This window comes from Homo sapiens, chromosome 11, assembly GCF_000001405.40.
Source record: "Homo sapiens chromosome 11, GRCh38.p14 Primary Assembly".
Lineage (NCBI taxonomy): Eukaryota > Metazoa > Chordata > Mammalia > Primates > Hominidae > Homo > Homo sapiens.
In genome coordinates, this window is record NC_000011.10 from 64,372,597 (window position 1) to 64,398,525 (window position 25,929).

A 25,929-nucleotide genomic window follows, 5' to 3' on the forward strand; every position below is an offset into this window, starting at 1 on the left:
CATGGTGCCAAAGCGATAGGCTTTCAGTAGAAAACATAAATAAATGGTAAGGAGCTTCCTGACTTACGATGGGATTACCCATCGTAGGTCGGAAAATTCGTGTCAAGCATAAGTCAGTCGGGGACTGTCTGTAAGAGAAAACCCAACCCAAACTTGCTTAAGCAAAACACAGGGTTTTGGGGGGCTCTTGGAACTATGCAGCTTCTCGATAGCTTCAGGCAAGACCTAATCCAGACTGAAGCACATGATCAGGACTCAGCTGCCGAGTCTGCCGAGTCTGCCGAGCTTTTTATTGTTTTCTTGGCGGTGGTCCAGTCTGGAGGACTCTCCTTATGGACCCAAGACGGGTGCCAGGCGCTCCAGGGACTCCAGATGGAAATATGGAGATGGAAATGGTTTCACGGTTCCCAAGGGAAGTCCTGAGATGTGCTCTGACTGGAGCCACTGAGGTCATGTGCCCACACTGAACCAATCACTGTGGCCAGGGAGGCAGTGTGCTGATTGGCTTAGGTCTGGACCATGGCCTCCCCTCTGGAGGCTCATTGGGTGGAGAGTAGGGGAGGGGTGGGCCCTTGACGGAGGTTACTTGAACCCGGCTGGGTGGTCAGTGAAGGTGGGAGTGAGTGGATCAGCCCCATTCATTAGGGCCCTCACTGGGATCAGAGCTTGGTTCCCCTCAGGGAGTGTCTGAGACTCCTCCCTGTGTGATCCCTGCGGGGTGTGTGTGTGTGTGGCCATAGGGCGGTTGTGGCCTGAGCACTTTTGCCAGCACCGCAGGTAGGTTCTTTTGTCCACACATGGGGATGTCCTGACAGCTCCCGCCCCAGGGTCTGCCTGAACCCCACCCTGGGCCGCCTCCCCATCGTTTCTCTCCCTGTGGCTACCCTGTGAGACCATCTCATGTGGACCTTCCCCTCCTGTCCCCGGGAGGCCTGGGGATCTGGGCTGGGACCCAGAGGTGCCCAGGTGAGGCGAATCAGGCAGTCCTTGTGGGCAGGTGGGGCTCCGGGGGAGTGGAAAGGGTATGCGGGCGCCAGCTGTGTCCCATCCTGGTGGTCTGAAAGAACAGGAAGGGGCCCAGGACAAGGGGCCCTCAGGAGAAGGGAAGAAATTCTGAGGCTCTAATTCTGACTCCTGTGTTACCAGCTGTGTGACTTTAGCAAGTCACCTAACAGCCCCAACCTCCCCTATTTGTCGAAAAGAGGAACTAGAGAATTAACAGATTTAAGAGTATGGTCACTCAGTCACCAGGAATTTATTGAGATTTACTGACCTTTTCCAATGTGTAGGGACCCTCCTGAGCACTCTAGGCGGGAATCTCATTGAAGGAGATGAAAGGGTCCCATTTCATCAGATACTCACAAGCACTGAGTATTACCATTTCAAAACCTTTTCTAATTGAGTGGATGCAAAATAGTCTCTCATCTTCAATTTCTTCACCTCTCATTCCATGTAACTCACAGCCACCCTATGAAAGAGGTATCCTTAGCCTCATTTCTTCCTATTAATTAATTAATTTAACTTTTATTTTAAAAAGAGATTTTTTTTTTTTTGAGACGGAGTCTGGCTCTGTTGTCCAAGGCTGGAGTGCAGGGGTGCGATCTCAGCTCACTGCAACCTCTGCCTCCTGGGTTCCAGTGATTCTCCTGCCTCAGCCTCCCGAGTAGCTGGGATTACAGGCGCCTGCCACCACACCCGGCTAATTTTGTATTTTTAGTAGAGAAGAGGTTTCACCATGTTGGGCAGGCTGGTCTCGAACTCCTGACCTCAGGTGATCCGCCCGCCTCGGCCTCCCAAAGTGCTGGGATTACAGGTGTGAGCCGCTGCACCTGGCCTAATTTAGCTTTTAGAGATGGGGTCTTGCTCTGTTGCCCAGGCTGGAGTGCAGTGGTGCCATCGTAGCTCACTGCAGCCTCAAACTCTTGGGCTCAAGCGATCCTTCTGCTTCAGCCTCCGGAGTACTTAGCCTCATTTCAGGGGTGAAGAAACGGTTCAGAGGATGCAGTAACCCAGAGAAGGGAGGATGCTGGGTGGAAAGAGCAGGGACTTAGAGGAATGAGCCAGCCTTGGTTTGAATCCTGCCTCTTCTCTGTGTGGTCAAGGAGCCTGCGGGTGGGAGATAGATGTGATTGAGCTGCAGGCTGGCCAGGGTGTAAAGCGGCAGAGTGGAAGGGGACACGGTGGGCACAGGCAGGGAAGTAGGGAGGCCAGAGGCCAATGCTCAAGGTCTTAGGTCTGGCCCCCTGCTTCTATACCTTGACTTTGGCTGCTGACTAGCCTTACCTAACATGGAGGCTGGCTCTTCCAGGGGAGCCAGGAGAGGTCACCCTCCTACACTGGGCTTCTGTTTCCACTCTTCAAATGTCCTCAGTGAACAGGCTTGGGCTTCCTGCTCTGATAAAATGTTGGCGCCCCAAGAGGGTCCGACAGCCCTGTAAACCTCTGGCTCCCTCCAAGTCGCTGTTAACTTTTTTTTTTTTTTTTTGGAGACGGAGTTTTGCTCTGGTTGCCCAGGCTGGAGTGTAGTGGTGTGATCTTAGCTCACCGCAACCTCTGCCTCCTGGGTTGAATCAATTCTCCTGCCTCAGCCTCTCGAGTAGCTGGGATTACAGGCATGCGTCTCCATGCCCGGCTAATTTTGTATTTTTAGTAGAGACGGGGTTTCTCCATGTTGGTCAGGCTGGTCTCGAACTCCTGACCTCAGGTCATCCTCCGGCCTTGGCTTCCCAAAGTGGTGGGATTACAGGCGTGAGACACCGCTCCTGGCCTGCTGTTAACTATTAATAACTACTGTTAGAACTAAAGTTCTGGCCGGGCACAGCAGCTCGCGCCTGTAATCCCAGCACTTTAGGAAACCGAGGTGGGCGGATCATCTGAGGTCAGGAGTTCGAGACCAGCCTGGCCAACATGGTGAAACCCTGTCTCTACTAAAAATACAAAAAATAGCCAGGCATTTTGTAATCCCATGCATGTAATCCCAGCTCCTAGGGAGGCTGAGGCAAGAGAATCGCTTGAACCCGGCAGGCGGAGGTTGTGGTGAGCTGAGATGGTGCCACTGCACTCCAGCCTGGGCGACAGGGCGAGACTCCATCTCAAAGTTCTAGAGTCACTGTTTGACTCTAAGCAAGTTACTTCTCCCTAAGGTACTTTGGGAGTGTAAACAAAAATATTCCATATGAACGTAGAGATTGCAAACTGGCCTGTGCCTGGCCTATAGAAACTCATTTTTGGGGCCAGCACTTTTTTTTTTTTTTTTTGAGACAGTGTTTTATTCTGTCGCCTACCCTTGAGTGTAGTGGTGCAATCTCGGCTCACTACAGCCTCAACCTTCTGGGCCCAAGTGATCCTCCCACCTCAGCCACCCAAGTAGCTGGGATTACAGGCATGCGCCACCATGCCTGGCTAATTTTTGTATTTTTGTAGAGATGGGGTTTCGCCAAGTTGCCCAGGCAGGTCTTGAACTCCTGAGCTCAAGTGATCTGCTTCCCAAAGTGTTGGGACTGCACGCATTAGCCACCGCACCTGGCCTAAGCACACGCTGTAAAATGAGGAAAAGCATATGGAATCCTAGATGTGAGGCTTTTGCTGATGAGCTGGAAGGGCTGGCCCTGGGGCAGTCTTCCTGCATGGTCTAATCAGCTGGAGCAGAATCACGCTGCCGCCACAGACAGGGCCTCTGCTTTCCAGGTTGCCGCAGTCCCCACCACTCCCTGTGGTTACACCAGCTCTGTCCTGCATTCATCCCTCTGGCCCTCTAGGCATTTGAGTTTGTGACTCTGATATAAACAGTCTCCTTCCACGGTCACTGCTGCACAAAAATGGGCTTTGTGAAATGTCAAAGATACCCCTTAAATCTTTTATTTTTGGCCAGGTGCGGTGGCTCATCCCTGTAATTCCATCACTTGGGGAGGCCGAGGCGGGTAGATCACTTGAGGTCAGGAGTTCGAGACCAACCCAGCCATGGCAAAACCCCGTCTCTACTAAAAATATAAAAATTAGCCGGGTGTGGTGGCGCAGGCCTGTAATCCCAGCTACCTGGGAGGCTGAGGGAGGGGAGTCGCTTGAACCCGGGAGGTGGAGGTTGCAGTGAGCTGAGATGGCGCCACTGCACTCCAGCCTGGGCGACAGAGCGAGATTCCATCTCAAAAAAAAAAAAATCTTTTATTTTGTTTTAAAACTTAAATTTAGTTTCTATTTGTATTTGTGAAAGACGATAAATTTGGCCGAGTGGGGTGGCTCTCTCCTATAATCCCAGCACTGTGGGAGGCCAAGGAGGGAGAATCCCTTGAGCTCAGGAGTTCCAGACTAACCTGGACACCATAGTGAGATGAGAGCTTGTCTCAAAAAAAAAAAATATATATATATATAATTCATATGATTCAAAATTCAAAGGATCCATAAAAGTACATAGTGAAAAATGTTCTTCCACATGCTGACCCTCTGCCACGTACCTTCTGTTGTTGCCAGAGGAAGCTAATGTGTTCTTGTGTAGTTTTCCAGGAATATTTATGTGTAGTCGAACAACTATATAATAATATGCATGTATAAGTAAAAATTCATATTAATTAAATGTTAATTTTAGAAAAAATCAGTAAGAGGCTGGGCACGATGGCTCACGCCTGTAATCCCAGCACTTTGGGAGGCCGAGGTGGGCGGATCAAGAGGTCAGGAGATCGAGATCATCCTGGCAAACACGGTGAAACCCTGTCTCTACTAAAAATACAAAAAATTAGCTGGGTGTGGTGGCGGGCTCCTGTAGTCCCAGCTACTCAGGAGGTTGAGGCAGGAGAATGGCGTGAACCTGGGAGGCGGAGCTTGCAGTGAGCAGAGATTGCGCCACTGCACTCTAACCTGGGCAACAGAGCGAGACTCCGTCTCAAAAAAAAAAAAAAAGAAAAAATCAGTAAATGCAAAGGAGATTTCAAAAAATCACTCGTGGCATTACTCTCCATAGATAAACTGTGTTAGTTAATATTTTGATGCATTCAATTCTTTTTTTTTTTTTTTTTTTTTGAGACAGATTCTTGCTGTGACACCCAGGCTGGAGTACAGTGGCGGTATCTCAGCTCACTGCAACCTCCCACTCCTAAGTTCGAGTGATTCTCCTGTCTCAGCCTCCCAGGTAGCTGGGATTACAGGTGCGCAACATCCCACCAGGCTAATTTTTGTATTATTAGTAGAGACGGGGTTTTACCACGTTGGCCAGGCTGGTCTCGAACTCCTGACCTCAGGTGATCCACCCGTGTTGGCCTCCCAAAGTGCCACTTACAGGCATGAGCCACTTCGCCTGGTCTGATGCATTCACTTCTAAGTTTTTCTTTGTTTTTTTTCTTTTTGAGGCAGGGTCTCACTCTGTCACCCAGGCGGGAGTGCAGTGACATGATCATAGTTCATTGCAGCTTCAACCTCCTGGGCTGAAGCAATTCTCACACCTCATTTTTTGATTTTGTTGTTGTTTTTTGTAGAGATGGAGTCTCACTATGTTGTCCAGGCTGGTCTCGAACTCCTGGGCTCAAGCAAGCCTCCCACCTCGGACTCCCAAAGTTTTGGGATTACAGGTGTGAGCCACCATGCCCGGCCTAGAATTTTCTTTATTGATACAGATTTTTAGTTAAAATGGCATCAAAATGTAAATAGGTTATTATAGCCTGTCTAAAGTCAAAAATAGATTGTGAATATCTTTCTATGTCAATGACTATATTTTACAATTATTCTTTGTAGCTGTAGGGTGCTTCATTATATGGGTATGCAATGATTTATTTAGATTGTTTCTATTTTTGGCTACAGCTCCTTGCTATTTTAAACAGTGCTGCAGTGAACATCCTTGTACCTACGTCTTTGCTCACCTGTCCAAATATTTCCTTAGGATACGTTTCCTAGAAGTGAAGTTAATAGGCTAAAGGATGTGCCGCTGCATGCACGTTTTAAAGGTCTTTGATATATGTGATCACACTGCCCTTCAGAAAGATCCTATCATTTTATATGACTTGCAGCAGCACGAGCAAGATCCAGGAAGCACTGTCTCCTTTAAAATGAAATAGCAGGCCTCGCCAGCGGAGTGTGTCCTTGCCCTCATTTTTCTTGGCGGAGCTCCTGGAGGCTGATGCAGGAGCGGAGGCTCTCCCTTTCCTGCCCTGCAGTCGCCCGCTGGGCCCGTGATGGTGGTGGAGGGTGTTGTGGACCATGAGTAGGGGACGAGGGACAGAAGTGGTGGATCTGACCTTTGTCTCTGCGGGAATGGGCTGGGGACACAGTCTGCATGGGGGAGGGAGAGAGTGATTCCAGGGATGTGCTGAAGGGTCCCCAGGGAGTGGGCATGCTTGAGGGCAGGAGAGCTGGGCGTCGGGGAAGCTTTGCAGAACCATGAACTGAGCCGCCGAGTGGCTTCATACCAGGGCTCTTCTCCCAGCTGTGCAGTCGTGACCAAAACCACTTGGGCTTGAGTCTCCGTGGCCTCTAGAGTGAAGTGCGGATGGAACAACAGCCACTGGAATTGCCGACGGGTGCACGGCCAAACGCTTGGCAAAGTGCGTGGCGCGCTGGGATTCCCCCACAAAAGGCAGTTTACCAAAAAATTATTAAGAGAACCCAGGAAAATTGAGGCCAGTTCAGGCTTGCTCAGGAAGGGACCCATGTCCAGGAAAGAGAGAGCGATGCTCTTCCCTCGCTCCCGGTCCCCCTTCCCTGGGCCACCGGCCTTTCCCTTCCGGCATCAGCCAGAGCCAAGTGTTCTGAACACTACCCCCGCCCCCACGAAAAGTGAGGACCAGATGGCGCCCCACCCTCTGAATACCTCTCAGCACGGAGTGTGAATCGCCACCGACCTGGCGTGTGTCAGTAGCTGCCTGGGAGCGGCCAGGATGGGCGTGGGAGCACACTCTTGTGTATGTGAATGTGTGCGTATGTGAGTAAATAAGTGTGTCAGTGTGAGATTGTGTGTGAGCACCTGTGTGTCTATGTGAGCGTGTGAAGACGTGTGAGTGAATATGAGGATGCTAGGGAGCATGTGAGTGCGAACTCATGAGTGCACGAGTGTGTGGGTGTATGGGAGTGTGTATGTGAGCACGTGAGTGTGAGAATGTGGATGAGTGTGGGTGTGTGTAAGCACAAGTGTGTGGGTGTGTATGCAGGTGTGTGCTGTGAGGATTGTGTTTGCATGTGTAAGTGTGAATGTGTATGAATGTATGTGAACAAAGCCTGTGTGTTTTGTGTGATTTGAGTGTATGTGTGAACATGTGTGACAGTGTGGACATATAAGTGTGAGTGTGAACAAAGCCTGAGTATGTTGTGATTGTAAGCATGTGACAGTGTGTGTGCATGAGTGTGTGAATGTGTGTAAGAATGTGTCAGTGTGTGTCAGTGTATGTATGTGTGTAAATGTGTCAATGTGTTGAGTGTATGTATGTGTGTTAGTGTGTGTCAGTGTGGCTGTGTCAGTTTGAGTGTGAGTGCACATGTGTGAGCATGTGTGTGGGTGTGAGCGTGTGTGTGTGGGTGTGTGTGTGAGCATGTCAACGCGTGGGTGTGAGCGTGTGAGTGTGGGTGTGAGCGTGTGGACGTGTGTGGGTGTGAACGCGTGTGAGTGTGTGGGTTTGAACGTGTGTGTGGGTGTGAGCGTGTGAACGTGTGCGGGTGTGAGCGTGTGTGTGTATGTGGGTGTGAGTGTGTGAGCGTGAGTGTGAGAGTGTGTGTGAGTGTGTCGCTCTCTGAGGGAAGCACACAGCGCCGTGGTAGAAGCTCTGAAGTAAACACTTCGTTCTTCAGTTGATTCCCCTCCACGGGGACCCTGTTGCCTACTGGGACTGTATTGTAGCCGGGGGATGCGGGATTCAGACCCGGCCAGGAAGGCCTGACTCTCCGCACTGGGTGGGGCCGGCCTGGAGGCTGCAGAGGGGAGCCGCGGGCAGGCACGGGGCGGCCGCTGGCCGTGAAGTGATGTGCTGGTTGACGCTGTGGGCATGTAGGGGCTGTCAGGGGAGCGGTGACAGAACCAGGGCCAGGCGGGAACTGGAATCTCCAGGGATCTTGCTTTGCCTGTGAGTGGGGAAAGAAGGGCTGTGGGGAGAAGCACCGCAGGACTAGGCTGGGGGGACTGGAGCCCGGAGGTAACCCTGAGGCTGGCTTGTGACTTCATCTCCAGGGCAGACGCAGCCTGGGATGTGTGTGGGGAGTCCCTGGCCTGCTTGGAAAGGGAAGCCCTTCCTCCCCAAAGCTGAGCCTTCCCAGAAGGGGTGCTCCGGCTCTGCTGTGGGGAAGACTCTGCCCTCCGCAGCTGCCCTCAGATGTCACTGGGGGAGGGTATCCCTAATAACTGTTGTGTAAAGTGTAAGAAGCTCAGGGCACTGACTCAGGTGTGCAAGAAAAATCACTTTTTTTTTTTTTTTTGAGATGGAGTCTTACTCTGTTGCCTAGGCTGGAGTGCAGTGGCACAATCTCAGCTCACTGTAACCTCCGCCTCCTGGGTTCAAGTGATCCTCCTGCCTCAGCCTCTCAAGTAGCTGGAATTACAAGTGTGCACCACCACACCCAGCTAATTTTTGTATTTTTAGTAGAGACGAGCTTTCACTATGTTGGCCAGGCTGGTCTCAAACTCCTGACCTCAAGTGATCTGCCCGCTTCGGCCTCCCAAAGTGCTGGGATTGCAGGTGTAAGCCACCGCCTCCCACCACTTGTTTTTAACCACTCAGCAGTGTTTCTGACATCAAGACCTTGGCTGAACTGGCAGAGAAAAAGTAGCTTCCAATTTTCCTGGTGAACTTCCTACCCTGCTCAGGGTCCTGTCACAGCGGCAGAGACCTCTGAGGGACCAGAGCAGCAAGTAGGGGCCAGGAGGGCCCCCATCATGGGTGCACACAGGAACTTCTGACACGTCCACACTCCAGTCCTTAAAGCCCACAAGATCCTTCCATGGCGCGCTCAGGGCAGGAGACCCTGGGTGAGCCACTAGTGGGCCCCCTTTTGAGAGGCCCCAGCACGGTTCCTCCCTGGGGCCTAGGCTTTCTCTTGGCAGGCTGCTGTGAGTAGAGGCAGGAATCTCTGCTCTCAGGATGCCCAAGGCTGGCTCTCCTTTTTTCTCCAAGACAAAGGATTTTGGAGGACAAAAGTTAAGAAGACCCATCGGTGTTTTTTGTTTGTTTGTTTAGTTTTTTTGTTTTTTTTTTTTGTTTGTTTTTTACTGTGTCTCACTCTGTTGCCAGGCTGGAGTGCAGTGGCATGATCTCGGCTTACTGTGACCTCTGCCTCCCGGGTTCAAGCGATTCCCCTGCCTCAGCCTCCCGAATAGCTGGGACTACAGGTGCACACCACCATGTCGGGCTAACTTTTTGTATTTTAGTAGAGACGAGGTTTCACCATGTTGGCCAGGATGGTCTCTATCTCCTGACCTCGTGATCCGCTCGCCTCGGTCTCCCAAAGTGCTGGGATGACAGGCATGAGCCACCGTGCCCGGCACCCACAGGTGTTTTTACCTAACACCTGCCTCGCCTAAGGCAAGTACTGCCTGTTTGAATGGGCCGTGGTTTAAGGAAAAGGGGGAAATAGAGAAAAAAGAAAAAAAAAAACAGATGAAGAGCTCAAAGAACGATCAGGCATGTACGCATGCATGAACATTATTAATGTGGGAGTGGTTGTAGATTCCTCCCCATTCATCCTGCTTCCTTCTCCAGAGATAAGGATTTTTACTGGAGAGGGGACTGGTCTTTGTCTCAGGGCAGAGAGGCGTGGTAGGTCCCTCCTGCTGCAGCCCAGTGGGGCAAAGGGAACCAGGGGCTCTTGGACCCAGGCTCTAGGGACTTGGCCCGAGGCTCCCAGGCTTACCCTGGGAGCATTACCATCCCAGGGAGATGGGGGTGAAGGAGAGTGTGGGGATATTCTGGAAGTGATGTACATCACTGCTGACCGTGTCATTGGCCAGACTTGTCACCTACCCTCCTCACCTCCCTCCCCCGATGCAGAGGAGGTGGAGAAAGGGATGGATGTTGGCAGACCGTCCCTTCTTCTCCTTCCCGTGATCATCACATCAAATCACCATCATGTCTTCTCTGGACACCACGATTCCCTACGAACGATGTCCCAGCATCTCCCACCCCTCCTCCATACGGTCCTCCATATAGAAGCCAGGGGAGTTAAAACAATGAGAGCAACACATATCTAATCTTTCAACTTCTGTAGGATAAAGCCCACGCCTCTTTCCATGACTCATGCAGCCTGGCCCCTGTTACCTTTCCAGTCCCCTTTCTCACCATCTCCTGCCATGGGCTCTGCTCTGGCCAAATCAAACCTCTTCCAGGTCCTCAAATGCATTGTGCTCATCCTTTGCACTTGCTGTTCCCTCTGTGGGGCACGCTTTCCCCTTCTCTTGGCCAGGCTGATGCCATGTCATCCGTCAATGCTCGGATGGCTTTATTTCTCAGAGCAGCCCCTCCTGACCCCTCCACTAGCCTACAAGCCCCGACTCTTTGTGCCGTCAGTAGGCAGCAGTTCCCACCGAAGCAGCCGTCCCTGTGTGTTGCTGTCATTGTCTTTTCTTTTTTTGGAGACAAGGTCTCGCTCTGACGCCCAGGCGGGAGTGCAGTGGCATGATCTCAGCTCATGGCAACCTCCGCCTCCCAGGTTCAAGCGATTCTTCTGCCTCAGTCTCCCAGGTAGCTGGGACTACAGGTGTCCACCACCACGCCCAGCTAATTTTTGTGTTTTTAGTAGAGATGGGGTTTCACCATGTTGGCCAGGCTGGTCTCGAACTCCTAACCTCAGGTGATCCACCCACCTCGGGCTCCCAAAGTGCTGGGATTACAGGCATAAGCTACCACACCTGGCCTGTTGTCATTGTTTAATTATCAGTCTCTCTGCCTGGGATATGAGCATGGCGGGGAGGGACGAGACTGTCCTCATCATTCACCATTGTATCCTTGGTGCCACATCATCCCTGGCACATAGTAGGTACTCTGGCGATGTTTGTTGAGTGAACAAGTGAATATACTTGTAGATTCAGCCATTCCCTAGCAACCCCAGTTAAGCCCCCTGCCTGGGGTCAACCCAGACCATCACTGCTCTCCTCTCCCCATCTAGGTGCTCAGGGTGGGCTGGCCAGGTGTGCAGGGCCCCTTTCTCAGGCTGCCCTGCACATCCCGTGTTTCTCTGGATGCTGCATGTGTCACAACAGCTCTGCCACCTGCAGGCTGTGTGGCCTTGGGCAAGGCACACTCCCTCTCTGAGCCATGGCTTCTTTATTGACTCTTAGATTCAGTTCTGCAGAACCCTGGTGCTCTGAGGAGGTCTCCATGAGCAGGGTAAGGGGAGGCTGGATGGCTGGATAGTCCCTCCGCTTCAACCAGAGTGGCTTTGCTTTGATGTGTTTCTTATGCTGGGGTCAAATATAAGATTCTGTTTGGAAAGGGCTCTGCTGAAAATAGTAGTGACTATATCTCTAAGCTAGAAGATGAAGCGGGTCTCAAAGCTTAGCTTCAGGAGTTTCCCTGAAGGAGTGTGAAACCCATCTCCATCAATTCCTAGCTAAGTGACCTTGGGCAAATTACCGACCCTCTCTGTGCCTTAGTAACCTTATCCACGAAATGAGGCAATAATGTTGGCCGCCTCGTGGCATTGCAAAGATAAGGTCAAGTAATGCATGCCAAGCACTTGGAACACCTCCTAGGCAGAGGGCAGGAGGGCCCCTGGGATGAGTGAGGCATGGAGGTTGTTGCCATTCAAGCCAGGCCGACTCAGGCTGGCTCCCACAGGACGGCGCGTAGGTGCAGGTGTGAAGTGGTCTTTCAGCACATTTTCATGGAAAGAAGCCTTTCCTTTCAGATTCCTGAAAACCTCAGAGCTAAGGACTTTTCAGCGGGAAAGTCAGGGAGGGCAGTTTCCATAAGTGCACCTCACACTGATGCTGGCGTCTGACAGCTTCCCCCATAACACTGGACCGAAGGTGGGCGGGGCGCGGGCCAGCTCTGTGGGTTTGCTCTGGGCGGTTTGAAGACAGCAGTCACCAGGCCAGGGCCTCTGTGACCCCTCCCTCCTGCCTGCTCCCTGCGGTGCCCCCACTCTTTCTGATTCTCCCTGGGGCCTGGGAGACAGTGGGACACCCTGGGATGCCTGAAACTGCAGGTTGAGAGGCAGCCAGGGAGTGGGGTCCTCTGGGAGGAGCCTCAGGCAGGTTTCTGGGCCCCCTGTAACCGGCTGAATCAGAATTTCAGGGAGTGCAGTCTGGGAATCTGCTTTTTAAAAAGCTTCCCAGGGTCATGTGCAGTGACTCATTCCTGTAATCCCAGTACTTTGGGAGGCTGAGGCAGGAGGATTGCTTGAGGCCAGGAGTTCAAAGTTACAGTGCACTATGATTGTACCACTGCACTTCAGCCTGGGTGGCAGAGCAAGACTCTGTCTCAAAAACAACCAAAAAGCAACCTTCCATGGTGTATATTCAAGCTATGGAGCCACAGATCTCATCTCATGAACCTCCTGAACTTTCCTAATGGGGAGACCGAGGCACAGAGGGGAAGGGACTTAGCCAGAGCCACAGGGCTGCCGACTGGCAAAACCAATTCCCGTGATGCCCAGCTGAGGCTTTCTCCCTCCCTGGGCCACACTTGCTGTAATGTGGAATTTTCCATAGGGACACAGATCCAATTTTATACTAGGAGCTCTCAGAAACCAGTATTCTCTGCCAGAATTCCCTGCCATCACCCACTTTAGTGGAAAGCTGGTATTCTACAGAGTAAGGGGTGTCTGCTATGTCCCCCACTCCCACCACACCATTCACAGGTCCTCAGAGCCTCTCTGTGTTATTTTTCCTGCCCAGCGGGGGTCAACAGGTATCTGGCAGGGCCTGCTCACCAACAGATGTCCCTGTAGACCTGTCATAAGGCAGGCTGCCGGGAGCACACTGGACACAGAGGGGAGGTGGGGAGAAGCTGCCTGGGAGCCAGTGAGACCAGGCAGGCACTGACTGCTTAGCGGGGGCAGGCGTTTCTCCACCGAGAGAGTTGCAGATGCCAAACAGACTCTGCAGCTCCGAGCTCTCCAATCTGCCTCAGCGGGGTCTTCCGTGCCCTGCATCTCCCCTGGCTGGGGCTTGGAAGCTCAGCCCGGAAGGTTCTTCTTGCCTGAGTGAGTCAAGTCCAGAGAAAGTGTCCGTGGTTGCCTGTGGAAAGAGGAAGCACTTTCTGGCTATTTCCTTTAATAACAACAAGAGTAGCGATGACGTTGAGCCCATTTATTGAGCCTCATGATGTGCCAGGCCCTGTGCCACACAGGTAGAAGGTCACACATAGGATCCCTGCTGCTGCTGTTGTTAATAGTCATGGCCAATGTTATTACTGAATCCTTCTCTGTACCAGGAGCCAGGCACCGGGCCCAGCACTGTCTATAATTTCCTTTCATGAACAGGTTCTACATTATCATCATCTGCAATTGTTTCCATGTTGTGGATGAAGAAAATGAGGCTTGGAGAGAGAAAGTAAATTGTCCAAGGTCACACAAAGGCATCCACAGGCATTGGCCCTAGAGCCTGGGCCTCCCTACTTGAGAACTAAGCCCTTAACCACAGTGGTTGAGCGGTTATGCTGCCTCTCAAGGTTATCTCCTGCCTAAGAGATATTTCTTTCTAGCAGATGTGTGGTGGTTCGCTTTCCTCTGCAATCCGTTTTAGCTCTCTTTGCCCCAAGGATCTGGTTCTCGCTCCGACTCTGCAGAGCCTAGAGCTCCATAGACGCCAGCCCCGGGCTCTCTTTGCTGGAGGTGGCATGGCAGCTCCATTTGCTGTCTTTGTGAAATAAATCATGTCAGTCATGTGACAGCGCACTGTCCCTCATCATAGCCTAGCTTTCCATTCTGATCCACAACTTGGTACCTCAATGTGAAGACTGTGGTCTGGAATGACAAGATTCCAGAATACAGCCATGAGTCACTTAGCCATGGGGACACGTTCTGAGAAATGCATTGTTAGGTGATTTCATCACTGTGTGAACATCAGAGTGCACTTACACAAACCTGGATGGGTAGCCCGCAACACAGCTAGGCTAGATGGTACAGCTGATTGCTCCCACACCACAAGCCTGTATGGCAGGAAGTGCTGAGTAGCAGAGGCAATTGGAATAGAATGGTATTTGCGTATCTAAATGTATCTAATCATAGAAAAGGTGGCACATTGCACTATGATGATATGATGGCTATGAATGACATCACTAGATGAGAAAAATTTTTCAGCTCCCTTATAATCTTTTATTTTTGTTATTTTTCTTTTCTTTCTTTCTTTCTTTCTTTCCCTCCCTCCCTCCCTCCCTCCCTCCCTCCCTCCCTCCCTCCCTTCCTTCCTTCCTTCCTTCCTTCCTTCCTTTCTTTCAAAAAATAAAAGCATACAGACAACCTCTTGCTATGTTGCCCAGGCTGTAGTCAAACTCCTCGCTTCAAGCAATCCTCCTGCTTTGGCCTCCCAAGTCCCAACCATGTTAGCCAGGCTGGTATCGAACTCCTGGCCTGAAGTGATCTGGCCACCTCAGCTTCCCAAAGTGCCAGGACTATAGGTGTGAGCCACCACACCCAGCCTCCATTATAATCCTATAGGACCACCATGGAATATATGGTCCCACACTGTCCAAAACATCATCATGCAGCCCATGAAATTAAACTGTTTCAAGGAGAAAAGCAAAGAACACAAATGAAAGATGGGTGAGGAGGAATCAATTGTGTGAACACTCAAGAGATGAAGACGCTGAGGTCCCAGTAGACCACCGGCTGTCAGCAGCGGAATATGATAGCAGATTTGTTAAGGTAAGCACCACAAAACAGTGCTGCATCCCAGGTGTAGAATGGGCTGAGAACATCTGACACTTTGCCTCCTCTTTTTTGATGTCATAATCACTGTTGTATTATTCTCCACAAGCATCCAGGAGGGAGATTAGTTTGGGCCCCTATCCTCTTAGTTTTATTAGCTCTGTAGAAAGTATGGCTGGCCAGGTGCAGTGGCTTATGCCTGTAATCCTGGCATTTTGGGAGGCCAAGGTGGGCGGATCGCTTGAGGCCAGGTGTTCCATACCAGCCTGGTTAACATGTGTAATCCTGTCTCTACCAAAAATACAAAAATTAGCCAGGCATAGTGGTGCATGCCTGTAATCCCAGCTACTCTGGAGGCTGAGGCAGGAGAATCACTTGAACTTGGGAGGTGGAGGTTGCAATGAGCCGAGATCGTGCCACTGCACTCCAGCCTGGGCGGAAGAGCGAGACTCTGTCTCAAAAAAAAAAAAAAAAAAAAAAAAAGTATGGCCAAGGCTGGTATTTTCTATACTCCTGTCTTCCTTAGCTTCCTTAGCAACACAAAAGCTATAGTGTTGGGTGTCAATGGGCTTTTTATAATATCACATTTCCTAGCCTTTCAGAAATAGGCCTATAAGATGTAAGCAAAGGTTATTGAGTATGGTTTCTGGGAAAGCTCTCCAAAGGAGGCTAAGCTGAGAGGCATGTCCTTTTGCCTTGCCCCTTCCTACTCTCTGCTGCCTGAAATGTGGATGTGATGTCTGGAGCTGCAGTAGCCATTTTGGGATCATGAGGTAGCCCCAAGGATGGGAGCCTCATGTTAATGATGGCAGAGAGCAAGATAGAATGAGCCTGGGTCACTGATGGCTGTGGACCTGCTGTATCAACCCTGGGCTGGCTAACTCTAGACTTCTTTTCACATGAGAGCAAAATTTAACCTCTCCCTTATTATAGCCACTGTTATTTTGATTCTCTGTAGCTTGTAGCCAGGTGCAATTCTTAACCGATAGCAAAGCTTTTGAGCACACCTGATGCCTCACTTCCCATCTCTATTCATGAATAAAGGGAAGTTTGACATGGATATAGCAGGGTGTCCCTGAGGCATCTGTACTGGGAACAGAGCCTGCTTTTTGTGGGCCTGGGGGCCTTGTGTTGGCTTGGTCCTGTTTGCAGGAACGGGCATGCCCGCTGGTTTTATCTCTCAGAACTGGAGGAGGAGAATGAAGTCGTTTGGTGCAGAGGTGCCCTGGGAGGGGAAGGGGCAGCAAGAATGGTGGAGGTGGATGCTGCGAAGTGACGGCTGGGCTGGGGCCTGGGGATCTGTTTCTGGGAGTGGTAGCAAACTTCTGGGCTCAGGCAGTGTCCCTTCTGGCCTGGGTGACAAAGAACAGTGCAGCTATGGGACAGCACAAAGTCGTGTGTTTCTGCCCCAACCCTAGCCTAACCTTGACTCTCTAGGACTGGCAGCCTGGGAACACTGGAGGCCAGCAGAAGCAGGGGATGCAGAGAGGATGGGGCCAGGTGGAAGCCAGGTGTGGGCTTGGACCTGAGCATGTGGGAGACACTCAACATGCCCTGGAATCCCCAGGGGTGGCAGGTGCTGAGGTGGGCTGTGCTCTGTGGGTGTGCAGCCGGGCACTAAGAATCTTGGTAATTTAGCTGGAGAGCTTGTTTGTGCCCCGGGTAGCCGAGCTGGACATGCAGGTTGCAGAGGGAGTTGGAAGCTGATGGACTTAATGAACATCGTAAATCCCACGGCACTCCCGCATCGTGCCTCCCTGTTGCCTGGTGGAGACTTACCTCTTCAGAAAGCTGGTTTCAGCAATCGCTCCATAAACATCCTTGAAGTTCATGGCCCTCTTTGCTGTCTCGGAGCTCACGCTGCACTTTCTCAGTCTGTTCCATGTTTGCTGATTGAATCAGCAATTCAGCCATTTGGATTAAAAGGCATACACAATTTTTTTTTTTTGAAAGCAAAAACATCTTCTGTTGAAGCAGCTCTGCCTGACCTACCATTTGCCAAAGGAGATGTTCTCAGAAACGTGTTGTTGCCAATGCTCAGAATAAAGATCTGAAAGCCTGTAGCAAGGATCAGAAGCCTCATGGCCAACATCTCTGCATTTATAAAGCATGATTTCTCCTGTGAGTTTGGTGAGGAGATATTTTAACCCTCATTTTGCAGATGGAGAAGGTACGGGGAGGTCTTGCATGTGATGATGAGGCCAGTCATTGGTGGAGACTCCAGGTGTCTTTTTATGTCATCTCACCATCCCTTAGACTGTTAGCTTCAAGGGAAGATGGGCTCATTATTAGCCCAAATATTGACTTACATAGAATAAAAGTGGTAGCTGATATTTGAGCATGGACTCTGAGCCTGGCCCAGGACCAAGTGGCTTTGATCTGTGATTTTGTGTAGTGTGTGTAGCTTACCCAGCTCCTGTTCCTCCCACTTGTGCTTTCTGGTCCCTCCAAGCTTGCTCTAGGTCAGTTGCTGGAATGCACGGGATGCTGGGATAGATGCTCACCCATTTCTGCTGGTCACAGATGAGGAAGCACCTAGCCCTAATGGCAGCTGGCAGCCAGCCTGTCACCCCAAGGACACCATACCTCAGGGTCCAGCTGAGGCTATGGATGACAGAGGAGAGAGGGAAGAGGTCAAGTCCTGAGGACACAGCTGAGCTGCTGGATCGAACCAACCCTGAAGTCCACCCTACTGCTGAACTGTCCTTTAGCCAGGCTGCATCTCCATTTATCATTTTATTTCTTGGCACCTTCCAGAGCCAAGAGAGAGAATCTTCATGTCCAAGGGTCAGCATGCAGCTCATAGAGGGGCCGGAAATCACAGCTGTGTCTGTGCTACTTCTTCCCATCTTCAGGTGCCATGAGTGAATCAGGAAAAGATATTGGTACTGTATTAGTCTGTTCTCATACTGTTAATAAAGACATACCTGAGACTCTGTAATTTACAAAGGAAAAAGGTTTAATTGACTCACAGTTCCCAGAGCTGGGGAGGCCTCAGGAAACTTACAATAATGAGAGAAGGGAAAGCAAACACGTCCTTCTTCACAGGGCAGCAGGAGAGAGAAGAATGAGCAAAGATGGAAAGCCCCTTATAGAACCATCAAATCTCATGAGAACTCACTCACTATTATGAGAATAGCATGGGGGTAACCACCACCATGATTCAATTACCTCCCACCAGGTCCCTCCCACTACATGTGGGGATTATGGAAACTACAATTCAAGATGAGATTTGGGTGGGGACACAGCCAAAACATATCAGGGACTAAGGATACCAAGTCACGGGAGTCATCAGCTCAGTTCAATGGTGTGTCAATTAACAAAGTGTTCTGCAGTAAGAAATCACCCCATCTGGGTGATATGTGTAACTGGCAGAGGAAGTTGGCTCAGTGATGGGGAGCTTCTAAAGAAGCCTGGCCTGGCTGTGGTGTGGGATGTGGACACTGGCCCAACAGAGGGGCCTGTGGCTCCAGCAGAGGGGACATGCAGGTAGCCGATGGCCCAGAGCAGGGCTGTACTCCTTCCACCACACACCACCATTCTTCAGGTGCGGTGACAAGGCAGGGGAAGCTGCTGGGATCTCTTGGGACTTCCAAGGGGCTGAGGTTGTTCATTTACCAGACTTCAGTGGTTACTACAGAGGGCTGTCCTGTGGCCCACAGGGGGCAGGGCAAGAATGAGAGTGGACTTGGGGCCGGGTGTGGTGGCTCACACCTGTAATCCCAACATTTAGGGAGGCCGAGGCAGGTGGATGAATTGAGGTCAGGAGTTCGAGAGCAGCCTGGCCAACATGGTGAAACCCCATCTCTACTAAAAAAATACAAAGATTTAGTGGTGGCCCGCGCCTGTAGTCCCAGCTACTTGGGAGGCTGAGGCAGGAAAACCACATGAGCCCAGTGGGTGGAGGTTGCGGTGAGCTGCGATTGCACCACTGCACTCCAGCCTGGGGGGCAGAGCAAGACTCTGTCTCAAAAAAAAAAAAAAAAAAAAAAAAAAAGAAAAGAAAAGAAAACAAAAAGAGAGTGGACTTGGCCCAGAGGTGGGTGACGGTCAGTAGCCACCTGTGGAGCCTGGGGCTCTGTGCCACGGTGGCCTCTCTGGAGATAAGGTGGCGGGTGCCAAAGGGAGGGACCCTCAGGGAGGAGGCAGTGACTTGGCCAGTTCACACTCCAAGTCTGTATTTTGGCTCAGCTGGCCCAGAAGTTCCTTGGCACCCCTTTCCCCAGAGGGAGACGTGTGCAATGTGTGCAGAGCCCCGCAAGGGGAGGACAGGTTGGCTCCCCACTGCCCCCAGCAGAGGGTGGGAGTGAGACTTAAGAGATGGGACCTCAGTTTCTCAGTGGCAGGTAGTGGGGTGCTGCCCACAGCAGCATTTGCAAGCTATGTTCCTTGGAGCTCAAGGAGGTTGGAAGTTTATGATAGATGCTCAGCAAAAATGTTGTCATCAGCCGTGTACTGTGCTGCCTCTTGGAAAGTCATCAAGGGCCTCAGCGCATTAAATGCTCTGAGGAGTCCTGCATTGTTATATGTGTTTAATTCAAGGCTCCCCATGGCACACCCAGCAATGCCTGTGGAGCACTGGGGTTCCCTGGAATGTAGTTTGGAAACTGTTCTGGATCTGGCTTGCTCTGAGCCTGGACATTGTCTTGGGAACAGGCCAGGCTTGTCATGGCAGGTGGTTTATGAACAGAAAGCTGCCTCATTAATTTGCAGGGAGGTCATCTTCCCTTGCACCCATCATCCCAGATCACTCAGCTCTGGGCAGGCCCCTTGCTCTCTCCCCACAAGCCAGGGAGCTCAGCCTGTTTTTTTTTTTTTTTTCCTTGAGACGGAGTCTCGTTCTATTGCCCAGGCTCTGGAGAGTGCAGTGCTGTGATCTCCCCTCACTGCAACCTCCGCCTCCCAGGTTCAAGCGATTCTCCTGCCTCAGCCTCCCAAATAGCTGGGATTACAGGCACCTGCTACCACGCCCAGCTAATTTTTGTATTTTTAGTAGAGACGGGGTTTCTCCATGTTGGTCAGGCTGGTCTTGAACTCCCGACCTCAGGTGATCTGCCTGCCTCGGCCTCCCAAAGTGCTGGGATTACAGGCATGAGCCACCGCGCCCGGCCACTCAGCCTGTCCTTCTAAGGCAGTTGCTACAGCTTTGTCTTTTAGGGTTTTTTTCTAGGAGGGAGAATGGTCCCAGGACTCCCTCCTGTGTGACTCTTGCAGGTCACTGCATGCTGGGAAGGGGAGGAGGGTCCTGATCTCAGGTAGATCTAGGACATTCCATTCCCGGGCTGGTTCCTGATTTCCCTTCTGGGGTTGTTCCCCAGGCCTCTGTAGCGGGGGGCCCTGTTGGGGCTGGGGGAGCTCAATCTCTGCAGCGGACTTTGGGTCAATCCTTTCCTGGTTCTGTTTCTGTTTCCAAAGAGCCATGCATTCACTCACAACGAGAACTTTCTCTACATGTAAGGCTGGAGCTGGGCCCAGGGATAGAGAAGTGGACAAGATGAAGCTTTGTCCCTGCCCTCAGTGGGTGCTCATGTGGTGTGGGGACAAAGACCTTAGCTGATGAGGCCGCGAGGGAGGTGGTTCCAGGGAGCACATGAGAGGGAGGCACTTAACTTTATCCATGGGGGCTGGAAGGGATTCAGGAGGTACCAGGAAGGCTGGAGAACCACAGAAACAGGGTGCAGCTCCCAGAACCCGAGGCAAAGTCAGGCCACGGGAGCGATCGGCCGCTGCCACCATTGAACACTGGGTGCCACGCCTGGCCCCACTGCAGCCTCTGGCTCTGTGCCCCAAAAGCCACCTACTGTCCCTGAAGTTGGACACTGTGGCCAGAATGGACGGACTTGACACTGTCCCTAATTCTTTTTTTTTTTTTTTTTTTTGAGACAGAGTCTCTCTCTGCCGCCCAGGCTGGAGCGCAGTGGCCTGATCTCGGCTCACTGCAACCTCCACCTCCTGGGTTCAAGTCATTCTCCTGCCTCAGCCTCCCCAGTAGTTGGGATTACAGGCATGCGCCATCACGCCTGGCTAATTTTTATATTTTTAGTAGAGATGGGGTTTCACCGTGTTGGTCAGGCTGTTCTCGAACTCCTGACCTCAGGTGATCCACCTGCCTTGGCCTCCCAAAGTGCTGGGATTACAGGCATGAGCCACCGCGTCTGGCCTCTCTCTTTTTTTTAGAGACAGGGTCTTGCTCTGTTGCCCAGGCTGGAGTGCAGTGACACAGTCTTGGCTCACTGCAACCTCTGCCTCCAGGGTTCAAGTGATTCTTTTGCTTCGGCCTTCTGAGTAGTTGTGCCTGGCTGTGCCCAGCCAGGATAAATTTTTATTTAAGTCCTTTGCACACTTTCTTTCTTTTTTTTTTTTTTTTTATGGAGCTTCGCTCTTTAGCCCAGGCTGGAGTGAAGTGGCATGATCTCGGCTCATGGCAACCTCCCCCCACTGGGTTCAGGAGATTCTCCTGCCTCAGCCTCCCAAGTAATTGGGATTACAGGCGCCTGCCACCACACACAGCTAATTTTTTTGTATTTTTAGTAGAGACAGGGTTTTGTCATGTTGGCCAGGCTTGTCTCAAACTGCTGACCTCAGGTGATCCTCTCGCTTCAGCCTCCCAAAGTGCTAGGATTACAGGTGTGAGCTACCACGCCTAGCTCCCTTTGCACACTTTCTAACTGGATTTTTGTGTTGTCGTTGAGTTGCAGGAGTTATTTCTATATTCTGGATATTAATCTCTTATAAGATACATGATTTGCAAATATTTCTTCCAATTCTGTAGGTTGCCTTGGGCTGTACTTTTAAATTGTTGAATTCTTTGTAATTTTTTGTTGTTGTTTTTTAAAGAGACTAGGTCTCGCTGTGTCACCTAGGAGGGAGTGCTGTGAAGCAATCAGCTCACTGCAGCCTTGAACTCCAGGCTCAGGAGTTCCTCAGCCTCAGCCGCCTAAGTAGCTAGGACTACAGGTGCATGACACTATGCTCGGCTATTTTTTTTATTAAAATTTTTATTTTTATTTTTTGTAGAGATGGGGGTCTCGCTATGTTGCCCAAGCTAGTCTCAAAGTCCTGGCCTCAAGTGATCCTCTTGCCTCAGCCTCCAGGATGTTGGGATTACAGGTGTGTGCCACCGCACCTGGCCCTCGTCAGTTTTTGGAAGATGACAGCACAACATGTCAATAACCATAGTGGCCGGCGATCTTGTATCTTTCTTGCTAACAGAAGTCTGGTTTCGTGTGGGGAGGCAGCATGCTCAGCCTGGGTCCTGACAATAGGATTTCCATCTGATACTCCACCTTCCCAGTCTCTGTTGCAACTGGGGGTGGCCGTGTGATGCGGTTCTAGCCAAAGAGATGTGAAGAAATGTGAGGAGGAGGGGGTGCTTCTGGGAAACACTTTACTTCTTGATGAGAGGAACACTCCTTTCTTCCCAATAAAAGGCCAATAAAAGTGGACTTGGCTCCCGGATAACATCTCTGAACTATTTCCCCAAACCCAGAATAGCCCATACCCACGCTGCTGCCTCTTATTGCTTCAGCCTCTGATATGTAGATTTTCTATTCATTGCATCCAGAGACATTCCTAACGGCTACAGCTGTGTGACACCTAGGAAGAAAATTCATTTCTTATTCCATTTCCTATCTTAAATTAGGTCAAACGACACTGTGTAATATAACTCCCAGTGGGGTTTGAACATTGAGAACCACATCAAAACCTGCAACATAAGACAGCTGCAAGGTAAACAGGAGCCCCCATGATTGAAGTCCAAAAATGCAATACCTTTCTCCCTCTAAGGCAAAGCCCAGATGAATTCAAGTCAAGACCCCTTCCTCTGCAGTGTCTTACCATGCTCGGCCTTAGGTGGAGGGCCCCACTTGGCTGAAGTGTGGCTTCCCTTGGTGGCAGTTGCAGTCCAGATGGCTCTTCTCCACTTTTGGAGTGAACTTGATACAGTCCTGGAGTGCAGTGGCGTGATCTTGGCTCACTGCAACCTCTGTCTCCAGGGTTCAAGCAATTCCCGTGCCTCAGCCTCCCGGATAGCTGGAACTACAGGCATGCACCACCATGCCTGGCTAATTTTTGTATTTTTAGTAGAGATGGGGTTTCACAATGTTGGCCAGGCCGGTCTCGAACTCCTGACCTCAAGTCAAGAGATCTGCCCACCTTGGCTTCCCAAAGTGCTGGGATTATAGGCGTGAGCCACTATGCCCGGCCACAGTCTATGTTTCTAACCTGGACTGACTTTTCCAAAGAGCCAGTTCCTGGCACATATGAGATGTTCCTAGCACACTCCACACCCACAAAGTATAAACATCAGACAGACAAAAGCAGCACCTCCATCATCACAGCAGCAAACCCAGCAACGCATGGTCCAGAGTCCAGTCCAGAGCCCACTGCGGTGGGCAGCCAGAGGCCTAGAGGAGCTGGCTTAGCTGGAGCAAAGATGCAGGCACAACGCACCGGCGACAAGAGGAATGATGTTGCACTTCACCAGGAGACGAGAGTCCACGACCCAGGAATTGAAACTCCACTGGTGGAAATTGCCCAATGAGAGGCAAACTGTGTCCCCTGCCGTCCGTATCCACCCAGGCTCACAGCTTCCTCTGAGAGCAGCGGGGGGACAGTTGTCTTCTTGGGTCACTTAACATTTGCAGTGAAGTCATTCCTGGAGCCCTTACCTAGGGCTCCCCGCCCCTCCCCCACCTTGTGCTCATCCTGCTTATTCAAAGGCTCTTAATTTTGATGAGTTTCCCACTCCTCCGGCAGGCCCTTCTCAGAGCTGCATGCTTGATTCTCTGCAGTTCCGGTGGTGTCCTGCTTTGCCCTCTAAGCTTCTCCTTCCTCAGCGAGATCTGCAGGAGGCTTACAGCTCTGGGCCGTGAAGTCTCAGCAGCTGCTCAGGAATTCCCGGGGCCCTCCAAGGGGCCTCAGACCCGAGGTGTCTCCGCTGCAGAGTCACCGTGGAATATTCCTGATCCAAAGCAGCTGCCAATGCCTCAGACGCCTGTGCCCCCAGAGGGCCAGGGGCAGCTGTGTGTCTTTTCCCAGGGGCTTTTGAATTTCCTAGGACTTATTTTTAGAGCTGCAACAGAAGCCCTCCTTTCTGCCACTCCGTCTCTGCAGCAGTGGGTCAGGCTTCCGGTGTTTATTTCCATCCATGATTCCTCCCCAACTGAGGTTCCCAACCGCAGCAGCTCATTGGAATCGCGAGTCTACCGATGCTCAGACCCCACTCCAGGGATCCTGATGAATTGATCTGGGGTGAGAGCAGGGGAGGGGCCTGCATCAGCATCTTAAAATTCCTCAGTGGTTGTAGCAGCCAGATGGAAAACCGAGGCTTTTCCAGGGGTGCAGCTAGGTTGTTTTTCTTTTTCTTTTTCTTGGAGTCAGGGTCTTACTCTGTTGCCCAGGATGGAGTTCAGTGATGCAGTCTCCGCCTTACTGCAACGTGGACCTCCCTGGGCTCAGGTGATCCTCCCACCTCAGCCTCCCAAGTAGCTGAGACCACAAGCGTGCACCACCATGCCTGCCTAATGTTTGTATTTTTTGTAGAGGAGGGGTTTCACCATGTTGCCCAGCCTGGTCTTGAACTGTGATTCTCCTCCCTTGGCCTCCCAAAATGCTGGGATTACAGATATGAGCCACCATGCCCAGCCCCAGCTAAGTTTTTTAAACATAAAAACCCATATAAGGCCAGGCGCGGTGGCTCACGCCTGTAATCCCAGCACTTCAGGAGGCCGAGGTGGGCAGATCACGAGGTCACGAGTTCGAGAACAGCTTGGCCAACATGGTGAAACCCTGTCTCTACTAAAAATACAAAAATTAGCCGGGCGTGGTGGCGGGCACCTGTAATCTCAGCTACTTGGGAGGCTGAGGCAAGAGAATCACTTGAACCCAGAAGGCGGAGGTTACAGTGAGCCGAGATCACACCACTGCACTCCAGCCTGGGTGGAAGAGCGAAACTCCGTTTCAAAAACAAACAAACAAACAAACAAACAAACAAACAAACCAAACAACCAACCCACCCCGTATTGGTCCTTTCCTTTCCTTCGATACATAGTCTTACACTGTCTGCTGTATTGTGGAGTCTTTCTCTCTCCTTTTTCTCCCTTTTTTTTTTTTTTGAGACGGAGTCTCACTCTGTGGCTGACGCTGGAGTGCAGTGGTGCGATCTTGGCTCACTGCAACCTCCACCTCCTGGGTTCAAGTGATTCTCCTGACTCAGCCTCCCAAGCAGCTGGGACGACAGGCGCCCGCCACCACGCCTGGCAAATTTTTGTATTTTTAGTAGAGACAGTGTTTCACCATGTTGGCCAGGCTGGTCTCAAACTCCTGACCTCAAGTGATTTGCCTGTTTTGACCTCCCAAAGTGCTGGGATTACAGGTGTGAGCCACCGTGCCCGGCCCTTTTTCTCTTTTATTTACTGTAGACCACAGTTAAAGTAGCAACTCATGGTGGTCCAGTGATATATGGAGTTTTTGGCCCAAATTTGAATCACTGTGGACCCATCAGGTCCGTGAACTTACCCCATGCTAATATATTTCCCCAGTTCCTGAATGTACAGTTGGAGTAGGCGTTCCTGGCAACAGGCAGAATCTCCACTTGGGCTCTCTGACCTGCAAAGAAAGATCCATGAAGATAAGAAGGGCCATGTGGGAGACCCTGGAGCTTCCCCTCCCTCTGAGCTAGGAAGTCAGAGCAATGCGAATTCCTGGGCAGCTGCTCTGAGATTACACAGCCATGAAAGACGTGAGGGTGGCAGGGGAGGTGATTCCTAGCACAGCCCCATTCACATGTCTGTTTGATCTGTGCAGAAGGTGGAAGGGTCCTGGGTCCTGGAGGACTGTGCGTTGCTGTAAACGTAGCCAGGTGGTGACTCCACCTGCAGCTGCGGCTCTAGGTGCAGTATCTTCCCTGGAGCAAAACAGCATACCCCTGGCACCTGCTATGCAGCTTTTGACCCATCCAAGTATTTTTTCTGTATAGCAGTTTTCAAGGACCACCAAAAGCAGTTTGCTTTTATCTGTCACCTTCACAGTCTTGCCTCAGGGCCACGTCAACCCTTCTACTTTCTGCCACAGTATAGTTGGCAGAGATCTTATTCTCTGCATTCCACAGGACATGATACTGGTCTACTACCTGGGAAACATTATGTTGATTGGGCC

General features: G+C 51.2%; 2 long non-coding RNA genes across 3 annotated transcripts, besides 5 other annotated features; one reads left to right on the forward strand and one right to left on the reverse strand.

The window, feature by feature from the left end:
* Nucleotides 382–431: an enhancer, noted in NCBI's record as "active region_4903". NCBI's record gives its function as "activates an Ori minimal core promoter by ATAC-STARR-seq in GM12878 lymphoblastoid cells {active_cell/tissue: GM12878}" and the evidence as "EXISTENCE:reporter gene assay evidence [ECO:0000049][PMID:35858748]".
* Nucleotides 382–938: a biological region, named in NCBI's record as "H3K27ac-H3K4me1 hESC enhancer GRCh37_chr11:64140451-64141006".
* Nucleotides 383–938: an enhancer, noted in NCBI's record as "H3K27ac-H3K4me1 hESC enhancer chr11:64140451-64141006 (GRCh37/hg19 assembly coordinates)". NCBI's record gives its function as "activates a minimal SCP1, AML or CMV promoter by ChIP-STARR-seq in naive H9 embryonic stem cells {active_cell/tissue: H9 hESC(naive)}" and the evidence as "EXISTENCE:reporter gene assay evidence [ECO:0000049][PMID:30033119]".
* Nucleotides 939–1,492: an enhancer, noted in NCBI's record as "H3K27ac-H3K4me1 hESC enhancer chr11:64141007-64141560 (GRCh37/hg19 assembly coordinates)". NCBI's record gives its function as "activates a minimal SCP1, AML or CMV promoter by ChIP-STARR-seq in naive H9 embryonic stem cells {active_cell/tissue: H9 hESC(naive)}" and the evidence as "EXISTENCE:reporter gene assay evidence [ECO:0000049][PMID:30033119]".
* Nucleotides 6,599–7,216: an enhancer, noted in NCBI's record as "H3K4me1 hESC enhancer chr11:64146667-64147284 (GRCh37/hg19 assembly coordinates)". NCBI's record gives its function as "activates a minimal SCP1, AML or CMV promoter by ChIP-STARR-seq in naive H9 embryonic stem cells {active_cell/tissue: H9 hESC(naive)}" and the evidence as "EXISTENCE:reporter gene assay evidence [ECO:0000049][PMID:30033119]".
* LOC124902688 (uncharacterized) lies at nucleotides 14,511–17,717 on the forward strand. Its single transcript, XR_007062718.1, has 2 exons — nucleotides 14,511–14,769; nucleotides 17,530–17,717. It is a non-coding gene; the product is annotated as an uncharacterized LOC124902688 (long non-coding RNA).
* Nucleotides 17,718–21,745: 4,028 nt separating this feature from the next.
* LINC02723 (long intergenic non-protein coding RNA 2723) lies at nucleotides 21,746–23,235 on the reverse strand. 2 transcript variants are annotated; one of them, XR_001748068.3, is made up of 2 exons: nucleotides 22,609–23,235; nucleotides 21,746–22,103 (listed from the first exon to the last, which is right to left on the reverse strand). It is a non-coding gene; the product is annotated as a long intergenic non-protein coding RNA 2723 (long non-coding RNA). The 2 variants fall into 2 exon arrangements; XR_007062719.1 differs by having other exon boundaries at nucleotides 21,746–22,368.
* Nucleotides 23,236–25,929: the final 2,694 nt, after the last annotated feature.